The sequence below is a fragment of the Homo sapiens genome, chromosome 7 (assembly GCF_000001405.40).
Source record: "Homo sapiens chromosome 7, GRCh38.p14 Primary Assembly".
NCBI lineage: Eukaryota > Metazoa > Chordata > Mammalia > Primates > Hominidae > Homo > Homo sapiens.
The window spans coordinates 47,458,057-47,473,381 of record NC_000007.14 but is presented as its reverse complement, the minus strand read 5'-3'; the positions used below and the strand labels follow the sequence as shown (position 1 = coordinate 47,473,381).

Below are 15,325 nucleotides of genomic sequence, written 5' to 3'. Positions count from 1 at the left end.
TTCTATTAGGTCAATGGATATACGCAAATGTTCTTGCTCCTTAATCTCTCTGATCTCCAGGAAGCAGAGAGAAGAGTTTCAAGGATCCTGTTAGATCAGCATCCAGGTGTTCCATTTGGTCAGAAGAGCCAAACTCAACATCTGTGGCTTTGGCAAAAGTCAGGTGAGACCCAAAAATAAAAGTACAAACCGATACTGCATTCCCCAGATCTTACCTTGACACTCAGTCATCACAGAGTGGTGTTTAGTTAGCCTGTGCATACAGCATTCGGGCATTGGCAGGGCACGGTGGAGGACGATGGGTGTGGATGCTGAGCAGTCGGGTGGGAGGAGGGCTGCGTGGGCGATCACACTCAGATTGGGAGGGCTGGATGCGCGTGAGGTCGCTCAGCAGAAGGTGAGGAAGGGGTGGGGCCAGCACTGTAAGTCCGTCTGTTTCTCACCCAGCGCCCCTCTGGAGGGTGCTTCGTTGTTGGGGATGACCCTCACCCCCATCTCCCAGCTGCTGCGTCCTGAACAACAACGGCTCAGGGTCCTGCCTCATCATTGCCCATGGCCTCAGCCCTGGGAGGGTGTGGATGTAGTGCAGGCTGGTTCTCTGTTGCTTTGGAGCAAGTGCAGACCAGCAGGAGTGTCCGGGATTTACTCTGTGGGAGGGAGTAGGACAGGCTGAAGATGTGCTGAGATGTGGGCTGGGACTTCCTGTTCCCATGGCTCACCTGCGCCTTCTGGTCTAGACGCCTCTAGTCCCTAGAGAGTGGCTTAAGCGAATCAACCATAAGGCCTGTGTGTAGGGAGCTGCCAGGGAGCAAGTTTAGGGCCACAGTCCTGGACTGCTCTCAGTTTTCTGTGCATTTCACCCCTTTGAAAGTTTCTCCCTATATCCCTGTGCACGTGCCTTTCTCTTGATGGGCACACACAGTGAGTACCAGTGAAGGAGGGCAAGCCAATGGGCTCCTTTCCCAGTGACACTGACACCTAGCCTTGCAGGTAAGGAAACGACGTGCTATGAGAACATTCGACCTGGAACATGCAGTGGGGCCTCCCTCCTTCTCACGGATCCCAGAGAACCATCTGTAGGGGAGGTACAGGGGGTTGAGTTGTGTTCCCCCGAAATTCATGTCCACCTGAAACCCCTGAATGTGACCTTATTTGGAATGATGACAGAGATGAGGTCATGCTGGATTAGATTGGGCCTGATTTCCATGACTGGGTTCTTGTAAGAAGAGGAGAGGATGCAGACACAGGGAGAAAGCCAGGTGATGACAGAGGCAGAGGCTGGAGCCACGTGTCTGCAAGCCAAGGAACCTCACCAATTGTGGCAGCCTGAGAAGGTGGAAGAGGCAGGGACAGATCCTCCCTGGGGCTCTCAGAAGGAGCGCAGCCTGCCGCCTTGGTTTCAGACCTCCAGCCCCTGGGTCTGTGAGAGAACACATGCCTTGTTTGAAGCCAACCACTTTGTAGTGCTTTACAGCAGCCTTAGGAAATTAATACAATGGGGTGCATCCCTTCACTTCTTTCATATTGATTAGTTGTTCCTCAGGCATTTCTGGAAATCCTTTTTGGCTCACACCTCTCCAGCCTCATCTGGGTGAAGACATGGGCCGCGAGGAGCTGGTACCCAGTGGACACCCGAGGGGGAGGTGGCTCCTGGGCAAGCCTGGCTGAGGCCCCTTCTCCAAACTGCCGCATTCTGCTCAGATGGAGCAGACTTTGAGAATGGGCAGATAAACAGCAGAAGATGTTAGTGGAACGTGTTTAAAAGAGGAGCTTCTGGTGATGAACTGTCATTCGAACTGGGCGGGATTGTGAGGCTTCTGTCACCCCAGGGCTCTTCCAGGAAAGGCTGGCAGGGCCCGCGGGTGCCCTGGAGCTGCCTGCAGGAGTCAGGCACTAAGTCAGTGGGAGCCAAGGTTGGAAAGGAAGACCCCCTTCCATTCCATCCTGAATGACTCCATGGGTGAGTGGGACCCAGGACGGCTGCCCTTCAGAGCTCAGCCCAGTTCCCAGAGACGAGACGGTGAGATGGTTACCAGGATGGTCCCTGCCCCTTGGCCCCGGCCTCTGTTTCCAGCTGCTCCCCTTAGCATCTGCACAATTGCCTAGTGAGGCCATCATGACCCTGTGGGCACAGTCTTCTGGGACTGATGCCTGTGGTTGTGGCACCCCCACCCTCACCCCTTCTCCCCACAGGCTGAACTTTGATCCACACTTTTCCTTTGATTTCACCGTCTCCTCTCACGCCTAAAATAACATACAGGCCTTTGGCTATTTCCAAAGGGTTTCTGGGAACTGCGCCCCAGTGAGGAGGCTTCCCAGCAGCCTTGGCCTTCCCTTCAGGCAGACTCCTCATCCACAGTCAGGAGCCCACAGGTCTCAGTTCACTGACCTGCTGAGAAAGACGAAAAACCTTCAACACATTAAAAAAAAACAAAAAACAAAACACACCCGTCAATGTGAGCCTCACACAAGCAGGCGCTCTCCCTTTGTAGCTGGAATTTGAAAGTGGTGGGTTGGATACTGTTCCTGAAGCTATTGTCCCACCTCTGCAGGTGGAGGGAATTGTGAACGGTCAACAGCAGGGAACATATTAACCCTGGTGTCAGCTTACATCCACCCGGGAGCACAAAGCCTTGGCTAATGATTAAAAACCCACTCCGGCTAGGAGGCCTGGGCTGCAGGTGTGTGGCTCACAGACACTGGATTCCCATCAGCCCTGACCATTACCTGCGTCTGTGGTTCAGGGTTGCTGCATTTCTCTGCGCTGGGGATCTCTTCCTAAAGTGACAGGTGGGCCAGGTCAGGGCTGGACGCACCAAAGGCACCTTTGGCTGAAGTATTGTCGTGTGGTCCCTGGACTCACCTGTAAGCAGTGTTTCGAATGAATGAATGCTGCCAAGTCTGATGACTGGACGTCTGCAGCAGACAAGAAAAATCAGGTTGAGTGGGATTTCTTTTCTTTTATGGCACAGATTCTAGAGTGGTCACATATTTTACTTATTTATTTTAAGATTTTTAAAGTTGTTTTTAAAGTTTAAAAACTTCAGCTTTTATTTTAGATATAGAGTGTACATGTGTATGATTGTTACCCAGGTGTGTTGGACCCAGGTAAGGAGCATAGTACCCAATAGGTGGTTTTTCAATTCACGTCCCTCTCCCACTCTCCTCACTTGGGCAGTTCCCAGTGTTTACTGTTCCCATGTTTATGTTCACGTGTGCTCAGTGTGCTCAGTTCCCATGTGAGAACATGTGGTGTTTTGTTTTCTGTTCCTGTGTTAATTTGTCTAGGGTTATGGCATCCACATCCATCTATGTTGCTGCAAAGGACATGATTTCGTTCTTGTTTATGGGTTTGTAGTATTCCATGGTGTACATGTACCACAATTTTTTTTTTTTTTTTTTTTTTTTGAGACAGAGTTTCATTCTGTTGCCCAGGCTGGAGTGCAGTGGAACAATCTTGGCTCACTGCAACCTCTGCCTCCTGGGCTCAAGCGATTCTCCTGCCTTAGCCTCCTGAGTAACTTGGATTACACGCACCTGCCATTACGCCTGGCTAATTTTTATATTTTTATCAGGGACAGTGTTTCACCATGTTGGTCAGGCTGGTCTCGAACTCCTGACCTCAGGTGATCCGCCCGCCCTGGCCTTTCAGAGTGCTGGGATTACAGGCGTGAGCCACCGTGCCCAGCCTATACCACATTTTCTTTATCCAGTCCACCCTTAATGGCACTTAGGATAATTCTATGTCTTTGCTATTGTGAATAGCACGGTGATGAACATATGAGTGCATGTGTCTTTTTGGTATAATGATCTATATTTCTTTGGGTATGTACCCATAAGTGAGTTGCTGGGTTGAATGGTAGTTCTGTTTTAAGTTCTTTGAGAAATCTCCACACTGCTTTCCACAGTGGCTGAACTCATTTACTTTTCCACTAGCAGTGTACAAGCATTCCTTTTCTCTGCAGCCTAGCCGACGTCTGATGTTTTTTGACTTTTTAATAATAGCCATTCTGACTGGTGTGAGATATTCAGCCTTTGTTGGATGCATAGTTTGTGAATATTTTCTCCCATTCTGTAGGATGTCTGTTTACTCTGTTGATAGTTTCTTTTGTTAAGCAGAAGTTCTTTAGTTTAATTAGCTCCCACTTGTCAATTTTTGTTTTTGTTGAAATTATTTTTGGGTACTTGGCCATAAATTCTTTGCCAAGGCTGATGTCGATAAGGGTATTTCTTAGGTTTTCTTCAGGATTTTTATAGTTTGAGGTCTTACATTTAAATCTGTAATCTACCTTGGGTTAGTTTTTATATACGGTGAAAGGTAAGGGTCTAGTTCCATTCTTCTGCATATGGCTAGCAAGTTATCCCAGCACTATTTATTGAATAAGGTGTCCTTTCCCCATTGCTTGTTTTTGTTGACCTTGTTGAAGATTAGATGGTTGTAAGTGTGCAGCTTTATTTGTGTTTTCTGTTCTGTTCAGTTGGAATATGTGTCTGTTTCTGTGCCAGTACCGTACTGTTTTGGTTACATTAGCCTTGTAGTATAGTTTGAAGTTGAATAATGTGATGCCTTTGGCTTTGTTCTTTTTGCTTAGGATTGCTTTGGCTATTTTGGCTCTTTTTTGGTTCCATATGAATTTTACAATAGTTTTTTTTCTGATTCTGTGAAGAATGATGTCAGTAGTTTGATAGGAATAGCATTGAATCTGTAAATTGCTTTGGGTAGTATGGCCATTTTAATGATATTGATTCTTCTAATTCATAAGCATGGGATGTTTTTCCATTTGCTTGTGTTTTCTCTGATTTCTTTCAGCAGTAGTCACGCATTTTAAATATGGAGAGGCCCTTAAACGCAGTGGCCATATGTGATTGGTTCGGGAAATAGCAGTAACTACTGAAGGGGAACATTAAATACTGATTTTATTTATTTATTTATTTATTTTTGAGACAGATTCTTGCCCTGTTGCTCAGGCTGGAGTGCAGTGATGTAATCTTGGTTCACTGCAACCTCTGCCTCCCGGGTTCAAGTGATTCTCATGCCTCAGCCTCCCGAGTAGCTGCGATTATATGCGTGTGCCACCACGCCTGGATGATTTTTGTATTTTTACTAGAGACGGGGTTTCATCATGTTGGCCAGGCTGGTCTCGAACTCCTGACCTCAGGTAATTCTGCCTGCCTCCTAAAGTGCTGGGATTACAAGTGTGAGCCACTGTGCCCGGCCTAATTTTTGTATTTTTAGTAGAGATGGGGTTTCACTGTGTTGTCCAGGCTGGTCTTGAACTCCTGATCTCAAGTGATCTGCCTGCCTCAGGCTCTCAAAGTGCTGATTTTTTTTTTTAAATGTCTGCAGTTGGAGAGAAGTTGGCATGTGACAAGGAGACGTTACAGATTCCAGGTCAGAGGAGGCATTCGTTTGTGCATTATTTATATTACCTGAGTGTATTTTACCTGCAAAAGGGATACTCATGTAGAAAACCACACACAACAACATCTCCAACCTACATCCACTTGGGGGACAGCCAGCGTGCTGTGGGAGGGAGCTGGCTTGGTCCAGGAGCCAGGGTCTAGGCTCAGGCCCCTCCTGTTATACATGGCCTTGTTTTCTAACCTTCTGTTTTCTTATCTTCAAATATGGGGGTTGCTTGGCTATGAATCTGTGGTCTCCTGTGGCTCAATAGTCCTATTTTAGAGAAGCAGGTACCATGGCGGTTTCCTCAGGTCACTGAAGGCATCTTGAGCTTTTTGGGCAGAAACTTCACTCATACTGTGTGTTGCTGGGGACCCAAGTCTGGGTGTCAGTCTGCCAGCATCAGGACAACTGTTGGCTTCAAAATCTGAAACTTCATGGGCTCCTGGTCCTCATAGCTGCTGTGATAATTGTCTCATTCTCCTGGTGCATTTATAACAGGTTTCTTTAAAATGTGCACTTTCCCGAGAGTATCAGGAAACAATTTTTGTTAAAAAATTAAAAAGAAAAAAGTCCCTGCCGGAAACCTTGTCATATTTGGAGACTCAATCGTAGAGAAAGAATAAGGAGAAACATGTTTAATTGGATGAGTATTTTCTACTTTAGTGGGAAGTTTTTCTCTACTTAACTAACACTTCGTTTCCCAGCGTGATGACCACTAGCACTCCCCATCCCGTCCTCTCTGGCCCTCAGGCCCTGGGGTAGCCCCATGGCCTGTCTTTCCAGAAATTATGGAATTTGAAGAGAACCTGGGGTCATGGAAGATGAGGGACTTCACCGGGGCAGGCTGTGCTTGCATCCAGGTTGTAATAGCTGTTAGCTTTGTACTTTGGACACAGATGTAATTATCTAACATATGCAACAGACTTTCAAAAGTACTACTTACACCATCACCACCACCGTCATCACCACCATTACCACCGTCATCACCACAGCACTCCCTAGTTACCTTTGGGGGATGTAGGGAACCAACTCATTCTGATTTGGTAAATAAAGAGAAGCAATCGAGCATTTAACCTTTGGGAACTGTTCTTTGGAGTTTCCAAATAAAGGAAGAGGGAAAGTTGTATTGAAAGAAGAATTCCAGCTAATAAACCTTGAAAATGTGATAGGGTTAACATAGTGCCCTTTCCAAACTCCTAATAAATGACTGTCTGGCTCTAGGCTCTGGTCCTCTGTAACCTGCACTATCACAAAAGGGGAGTTAGACCATGGGTCATAGGGTTGTAAGCCTCCTTGCAGGAAGTACACAGCTGAGTCCTCACCCTAGCCAAGTCCTCACCAGAATCAAACCAGAATCAGACCCAGCCTCAGATCCATCTGCAACTGACAGGAAGTCCAGGGGCCAGGACATCTGTGAAGCCATACTGCAGGGCTCAGCGAAATCCAGGGCAGAGGGAATTCTACTGTGTGGAAACAACCCCAGTCTTTTTCAAATACATTGCAAAAAGAGGAGGAAGAAAAAGGAACTGGGTCGGGTGCTGTGGCTCACGCCTGTAATCCCAGCACTTTGGGAGGCCAAGGCAGGCGGATCATCTGAGGTCAGGAGACCAGCCTGGCCAACATGGTGAAACCCCATCTCTATAAAAATACAAAAATTAGCTGGTCTTGGTGGTGCACGTCTGTAATCCCAGCTACTTGGGAGGCTGAGGCAGGAGAATGGCTTGAACCCAGGAGGCAGAGATTGCAGTGAGCCGAGATTGTACCACTGCACTCCAGCCTGGGCGACAGAGGCTCCGTATCAAAGAAAAAAAAAAGAAAGGAACTGAAGTGACATATTGAATAAACATCGTAAGACTTTATTCAGACTGTAACTTAGACTGTAAAAATAAATCCAAACAACCCCAAAACACGTATGGCAGAGAAATTTGAACATGAATTAGATATTTTAAGAAATTATTCTTCACAATTCTGGCAGTTTGTTCTATGTATTAAAATGTTCTTGACTTTTATTTTTTTAAATTATTTATTTATTTATTTATTTATTTATTTTTAGACGGAGTTTCGCTCTTGTTGCCCAGGCTGGAGTGCAATGGTGTGATCTCGGCTCACAGCAACCTCCGCCTCTTGTGTTCAAGCAATTCTCCTGCCTCAGCCTCCTGAATAGCTGGGATTACAGGCATCCACCACCACGCCCGGCTAATTTTGTATTTTTAGTAGAGATGGGGTTTCTCCATGTTGGTCAGGCTTGTCTCGAACTCCTGACCTCAGGTGATCCTCCCACCTCGGCCTCCCAAAGTGCTGGGATTACAGACGTGAGCCATTGTGCCCGGCTTGACTTTTAAAGATATGTACTGAGATATTTATGGATGAAGTGATGTGATATCTAGGGTTAGCTTTAAATGGCACAGTTGGGTAGGGGGTGTCGGTGTATGGATGCAGTTGATTTGGGGACAAGTTGGTGACTGGAAACAAAGTGGTGGGACCTGGGGCTTCTGATCCGCGTGTCTCTACTTCACAGGGGCATTGTGCAGGGCGCAGATGATGTGTTTAGGCACAGAGCTCAGGCTGGCTGGTCACTGTTTTTATCATATGACACACCAGTGTTTCCCAAGCCAGCGTCCTTTCCCCCTCTTGCAGTTATCTTCCATGACCTAATGGCTTAAGACTTTTCCCACAAGTCTCCTGTGTGGCATTGAGCCGTTGACATCTGGGTGATAGCCCCTCAGCAGTGCTACAATGTGTCTTATTTGATGAAATGTTTCGCTGAAAACCCACTGAGTTTGTCAACACATGGCACAGAGTTCACAGGCTGCTTTGTAAAATAGTAACACTTGCTTCATAAAGCCTTTAAAGAAATCATTCTGAATAAAGGGTTGTTTCACACTAGCCAGGTACATTTTTACTTTTTTTCCCCTGGGAAAATCATACAACTCACTCACCAGGGAGATCAGCCTTGATAGGTTTTGTGCATGGAAGGAAATAGGGCCAAGGCGCAGGCATCCAGTGAGCACAGATTGTGATTCAAGAGAGTGAAGCACTTTGGAATATTAGGGGAGTTAAACATGGACTTGGACTTGTATGAGGTCCTGAGCTCCCCATCATTGGTGCCATTTAAGTAGTGGCTGGAAGTTATGTTGCAGTGTTCCTTCTTAGGGTGATTGGGAGACTGAGTGCAAATGATGGCAGAGGATGCAGTAATGAAGCCCGCATTGCATGTGGTGACAAGGTCGTTAGTATAAACCACACTGATGCACAAATATTTTAGGTCAGTGGATCTCAGAGTGTCATCTAAGACCAGCAGCATCAGCATAAACCTGGGAACTTAGAAATACAAACTCTTTGTGCCCACTCAGACCTGTTGAATCAGAAATTCTGGGATAGGGTCCCTAAGTCTCTCTCCTAATATGCCCTCCTGGTGGTTCTGATGCAAACTGAAGTCTGTTCAGCCTGTTCTAGGAGATGACTTGCTGGGGTGGGGCTGCCACCCGGGGCCACCTTGAGCAATCCTAGGGGTGTTGAGGGTGCTCGGGGCGTAGGGTTACTGAGAACTCGGCGGCCTCTGGGGTTTGGGTGACCTGACGTTTATGATTTCCTTCCACCTGAGAAACTCACATTCTCTGATGCCTTTCTTCTTTCCATCCCGGGCAGATGACTATTGGCTTCTGTCGTACGTGCTCCAGAAAATATTCTGATGCCAGAGTCCTCAGTGTGTTTGCCTAGAAAATGCTGTAAGCTTCTCAAGGCAAGGCATTGCCAAATCAATAGAGGTCCTCAGGTAGGGAACATAAATCTGGAAAAGAAGTGCACGTCTTTAGAAGAAGGCATCTGCAGCCTGAACTTGCCACCCTGGAGCTTCCTTGTCAGGAGGAAGGATTCCTCTAAGGCTTTGCTTTCTGTAGCAGCATGAGGCATCCTAGGGATGAAGAAGTAGAGTCAGGTAGATAAAAATTACGGGTGGACTAGGCTGTGATTACGGCCCTTTTAATAATGTTAGAGTAACAGGTGTATTAAGTGGGGGCATTAGAATTAGAAACTGGCAAGTTTCTAGCAATTTTAAATCTACAAATTTGAAGATTAAATTATAGTTGATTTTCATTACTTGTGGATTCCATATTTGCAAATTAGCCTCCTGGATACAATTTATTTGTAACACCAAAATCAATACCAAGGACAATTTTGTGGTCATTTGAAGACATGAACAAAAAGACTCAAAATTCGGGTTGCCCACCTGCATGTTCCCGTCTGACACTGAACAAAGCAAAGCTCTTCCTTGTTTCAACTCATACTGCAGACAGGCATCCTTTCCACAGTCTATTTAGTGCCACATTTCCCCCATTTTTGTGCTTCTGTTGTTGATTATGCTGTTTAAAATGCAAGTGTAGTGCTGATGTGATGTCCAGTGTCCCTAAGCACAAGATGACTGTCCTGTGCCTGGTGGAGAAAGCGCATGTGTTAGACAGTCCTTCCTTCAGGTGTGAGTTACAGCACCAATGGCTGAGAGTTTCATGTTAATGAATCCACAGTATTTATTAAATTAGGGTCTCTCTTTGTCACCCAGGCCGGAGTGCTGTGGCATGATCTCGGTTCACTGCAACCTCTGCCTCCTGGGTTCAAGTGATTCTCATGCCCCAGCCTCCTGAGTAACTGGGATTACAGGCATGCACAACCACTCCCGACAATTTGTACATTTTTAGTAGAGATGGGGTTTCACCACATTGGCCAGGCTGGTCTCGAACTCCTGACCTCAGGTGATCCACCTGCCTAGGCCTCTCAAAGTGCTGAGATTACAGGTGTGAGCCACTGCACCCGGCCAAGGTTATGCCTTGAAGCGGTTGGTGAAAATGCTGTGACTAGAGCTCGCAGGACCCTAACCCTGTATTTCTCCTAGAGACGGAAGCTCAGTGTTGGTCAAATCAGTGTTTGCAGCAACTTTATAGAACACAACTACTGCCAATAACGAAAATCAACTGTAATTGATTAGGCATTGATTAGGGTCCATTGTAGGACAGCCTCATTGTCAGGTTTTCACTTAATGATTCTTTCCCTGAGCTTTACTATCTGAGAGAACAGATCCCAGCCCACTTTCTGGCTGCCTTCTGTGAACCTATGATAGGCAATTTGCTTACAAACCGGAGAGGCAGGGAGAAGAGAGGCACAGCGGGGAGGAATCAGGGCAGAGGGCTAACTAGTCTTGGCTGTGGAGTTCTAGGGAGGTAGAAAAGTCGATGGTCCCTCGTGGTGGAGTGAAAGCTAAGACAGACCTGGCCTGTGTCCTAGCACTCCCCTTGCTGCAAATGGCCTCAGGTGGGCAAGCCTGGTCCTGGGTTTGAACTAGATGAAGTGACAGCCTGACAATGGGGCTGTCTTACTATGGAACCCTAGTCAATACCTAATCAATTACAGTAGATTCTCATTATTGGTGGTAGTCATGTTCGATAAAGTTGCTGCAAACACTGATTTAGCCAACACTGAGCTTCTGTCTCTAGGAGAAATAAAGGGTTAGGGTCCTGCGAGCTCTAGTCACAGTGTTTTCACGAACTGATCAACACATAACCTCGGCCAGGCGCAGTGGCTTATGCCTGTTTGAAAGTGGGGATGATAAGGGTTCCTTGCTCAGCAGGCTGCTACAAGGATGGAGAGAGAATACAAGCAAATCATGTTGCATTATGTCAGGAATAGAGTGGATGTGGAATAACTTGCTGTGACAATGATCGTTACTGGTATTAATACAGGGGCAACGAGGAGGGTCATTGCTGCTTGCATGTCACTTACTATGCATTTGGCTTCACATCCAGGCAGAATCTGTCATTTAAAGGGATCAGAATTTATAAGTGATTATTGAACTGAAGTATCAGTTAACTTGCGGAATCCTGAACCTTTCATTTAGGATTCCATTGTGTCTGAAAACCGGTAAAAGTAGCCACCTGTCTTTGACGTACCATCCCACCCTGTCTTTGAGTTCTCTCCAGGGTCTGGGGTTCCCTGTCCTGTTTTTACATAGTGTACATCTACAATGAGTCATTGAAATTTCCCATTTGGGGTTCCTCAGAGTGTAAGAAAGCTTAAAGATACTTAGGAATAATTGGAGCATAGAAATCCTCTGGACTCTGCCCCAGCTGCCCTACAGAAATTTGATGAGTTTTACTGACTGCCTCACGCAAGGCTCTCAAAAACTTCAGTGTTTGCAGCAGTAACAAATCCTTTTTTGCTCACATTTCATTGATTTCTGCAGTATTTTATTAAGCTCTGCAATTACAATAACTGGTACAACTGGCATTTGCAGGGTTGGGAGCAGACGCAGTGGTCATTTGGTCAGCTTTTGAATTGACAGAAGAAACACAGTGCGGGACTGCAGAGCCCAGCCTGCTGGCTTCAGGCATGCAGTGGGCATGCAGTGCCCGGCTCCTCAGTAGTAACAATGATGTTCCTGGACAGGGGTGGTGAGGAAGGCCCTGGGCCCCTTCGGTCTTCATCTAGTTCCTACTTCTGCACTGCTAGAGTCTTGGCTGACTGAGCCCCTCAGTGGGAGCGGGGACAGCCAATTCTCTAGTGCTCCATTGTGGAGCCCAGCCAGCTGGCTCAGGCCATGCATTCCATATTGTCTCATGGAACGAACAGGGAGACAGCAGATCCATGGTTGGTGGGAAGCCTGTAGAGGTGGTTTTGGAGTGACCTCATTTATGTGGTCCTTGGAGGGCAAGATGCAGTTTCATTCTAACCAGTAAGCAGAAAAGACTCACACATGAATGTGGCTTTGCTCAGCCTGGTTCAGCTTCCAATGTACTCATTTCTTGACATACAACACTTAATGCGGGGCTCACTGTCTTATGTTTACACCTGCCTGTGTCCCCTCATCTCACTGTAAGCTTCCCAAAGGCGGGAATATGCTCTTTCCCGTTTTTTTTCAACTCCAGCATTGTCAGTGAGACTGGACACATTCTAACAGCTGGAAAATAAATTTTGAAGTTAATTGCTCAATAAACTTATTTTCTCATGGCGGGATCTATAGATCTGTAATGTTAAGGTATATGATGCACATAAAACCTCTCTGGTTTAGAGCACATCCTCCTTCAGCTTTATTGGAAGTTACTAGGTGGAGGAAGAGCTGAAAGTAGTTGGATATCTTGTGTCTTGATGCTCCTGCTGTTCCTCCTCCTTCAATATTTTGGCATGCCCATCAAATTGCCCAATCTTCCTAGTTACATTAACCAGCTTGACTTACTGGATTGTTTTCCCCACTGCCTCTCCCTTTTATTTAACACATTCAGGAGGAGGAGGCAACGTTTCCACGTGTGGCTAGGGGCCATTCCGGCCCCACACCTTATGCCACTCCTTGCTTTATTGCTGCTGTTCACAGTCAGCCTGGCTTCCTGCCAGGAGAGGGTGAAGTGAGGGGAGCGCAGGGCGGCAGGTGAGCATCTCCAGGCCACCTGCCCATCCTGGGAGCTGAAGGTTGCTCCTGGCAGCAGCATTTCCCAAACACCCACCAGGCATCTCAGAGCTTTCAGATGTCGTCTTAGTCAGCTTAGGCTGCCAAGACAAAGCACCACCGTGCGGGGCAGCTGCAGCAATGGGCGGTTATCACCCTCAGTCCTGGAGGCTGGAAGGCTGAGATGAGGGTGTCTGCAGGGTTGGATTCTCCTGAGGGCTTTCTCATTGGCTTGTAGGTGGCCGTTTTCTCCCTGTGTCCTCACATGGCTGCCCCTCTATGTGTGTCTGTGTCCTAATCTCCTCTTCTTTTTTTTTTTTTTTTTTTTTTTTTGGGACAGAGTCTTGCTCTGTCGCCCGGGCTGGAGTGCAGTGGTGCGATCTCGGCTCACTGCAAGCTCCGCCTCTCAGGTTCACGCCATTCTCCTGCCTCAGCCTCCCGAGTAGCTGGGACTACAGGAGCCCGCCACCATGCATGGCTAATTTTTTGTATTTTTAGTAGAGACGAGGTTTCACCGTGTTAGCCAGGATAATCTCCTCTTTTTATAAAGACACCACTCATACTGGATTAGGGCCACCCTAATGGTGTCATTTTAACTTAATCACTTCTTTAAAGATCCTGTTTCCAAACTGTCACCCTCTGAGGTCCTGGGCACTAGGACTTCAACATATGGATGTTTGTGGGAATGCATTTCATCCATTAACAGATGGTACCAGGCATTTTGTCAGTCTCCAGTGGGGAGGAGGACGGTGCTACCTTTGCCAGATATGGTGGGTAATAAATCATAAACTTGAAGTTATGGTCTTGATTATGGAACAGATGAGTCCTCTCTTCCACTGCCCTGCCCCTCCTTCATTAATCAATCAGTTTATAAATATTTATGTCCTGGGGACCTCTGATGCACCAGACACTGGGCCCTGTGTGGGGATATGGAGGCCTGCCGTGGTTCTCTTGTGGGGGAATTTACATTCTAGGACACTCCAGTGGCATAGTCCACTTGGGGCCTGAGACTGACCTGGGAGGGGATGAAGGTGCTTGCAGAGAGGTTTGGAGGTGCCGTTTTCTCCTCTGCTGTGTTCTCTGGGACACTGGTTTCATAACTATCCAGACACTTCAAGTCTCTTTACCTTTGACAAGATAGTTTCTTTTTTGGAAAGGGGATAAAATATGCTTAAATAGAAAAAGATGGAATGGGTTTCATGTTTTGTATGTTTCCTCTTCTCTGGGATGATGCATGTGGTCCTGGAAGTCACAGCACTTTCTAGAGGAAGTCCTAGTGATGTGGACCCCAAAGCACATGGCATCTCTGGGTGTTTATCCCGAGGCAGCCACTAAGGATGTTAACATTTTAAACTATAGAATGTTTCTCATAGCATCATTCATAAGAGTGGGAAATTTGAGACCAAAAAACATGCTGTTAAAGAGGGATTATGTTCCATCTGGATAATTGGGTACTATGCCACTGTTAAAAATTGCAGTGCAGAAGAAAATATAGTGATATGGACATAAAGCACCATTTGGCTTTTAAATAAGTATGGGCGGAAGAAAGTCGCCCGTACTTATTTAGGGGTCCATCCTATCTGGCTAAAGTTGGTTATCTTGGGGTATGGGAGGGAGAGAGAGGCTGATTCTGTCTGCTTCTTTTTGTATATGTCTACTTTCTGAATTTTCTATAACCAAGTAACTTTTATCATAAGAATGAAAGTAGGTGGTACTTGTTATTTAAAAAGCTGGTTCTCAGAGCTAGCCTCTCAAGGGCAGTGAGGCCCTGCTCTTCAGCCACAGGGGTCTACACAGGCTCCTCAGATGGCCTGGGACCTACATGCCTGGGGTCTGACTCCCGAGCTGCAAGCCTGCACCTGCGGGAAGGGATGGGGGGACTGCTTGTTCCTCATGCAGAAGGCTTCGTCTGTGGTTGGCTTGTGCTCACAGGAGGTGGCTTGAGCAGCCCCGTTTTTCACAGCTCATCCCAGCGCAGACTGATTTTATTTCATCTTGTTTTATATTACATTTTATTTTATTATCATTTTCAGATCCAATTTGTACAGGACATCTAATCTCTCTGGGATAGAAATGAGGGAGAAAAAAGGTTGGGGCATCCAGGAGGCACAGCTGTTCTAAATGTGAGCCACTGACTCATGAGGCACTTCCAGATGGAAGCCTCAGAGGTTAGAGGACACATCTGTCCCCATGTTTAAAAGGGAAATGGATGCCCTGTGCTCAGCTAGTGAAGCTGCCCTTTGGCAGAGCCCCAGGTGACTGTCCCATGGCGTGTGTGTGTGGGAGTTGGGAGGAGCCCGTGGGCCCTGGCCTAGAGCACTCATCCTGGGCAGACGTGGCCTCAGCTGACTAACCAGATGACCTTGAACGGGTCAGTTAGATACCAAGGACATTATTTCCTCACCTGTAAGAAATTGAGTAAGATCACCCATGTTTCTGTGTAGTGTAAACGTCATGTATGTGGCATATTGACATTATTTTGGCATGAG

General features: G+C 46.8%; 1 protein-coding gene and 1 non-coding gene across 24 annotated transcripts in view, besides 1 other annotated feature; both read left to right on the top strand.

Moving 5' to 3' along the window:
• TNS3 (tensin 3) overlaps positions 1 to 15,325 on the top strand; it is a 307,433-nt gene that overhangs the window by 109,205 nt on the left and 182,903 nt on the right. For 2 of the 23 annotated variants that reach the window (XM_024446876.2, XM_047420738.1), the window contains one exon: positions 61 to 163. The exons of 20 other annotated variants lie outside the window; for them this stretch is intronic. Coding sequence is in view for 1 of the 3 variants with exons in the window: in XM_011515479.3 (XP_011513781.1) it covers positions 2,886 to 2,939 (54 nt within the window). In the remaining 2 variants the exon portion in view is untranslated. Of the gene's footprint in view, positions 1 to 60; positions 164 to 2,692; positions 2,940 to 15,325 lie in introns of those variants that run through there. One more of the 23 variants, XM_011515479.3, reaches the window with a different exon arrangement.
• Positions 2,028 to 2,844: an enhancer, noted in NCBI's record as "OCT4-NANOG-H3K27ac-H3K4me1 hESC enhancer chr7:47510136-47510952 (GRCh37/hg19 assembly coordinates)". NCBI's record gives its function as "activates a minimal SCP1, AML or CMV promoter by ChIP-STARR-seq in naive H9 embryonic stem cells {active_cell/tissue: H9 hESC(naive)}" and the evidence as "EXISTENCE:reporter gene assay evidence [ECO:0000049][PMID:30033119]".
• Positions 8,579 to 8,662, top strand: SNORD151 (small nucleolar RNA, C/D box 151). The gene has a single exon (NR_145813.1). It is a non-coding gene; the product is annotated as a small nucleolar RNA, C/D box 151 (small nucleolar RNA).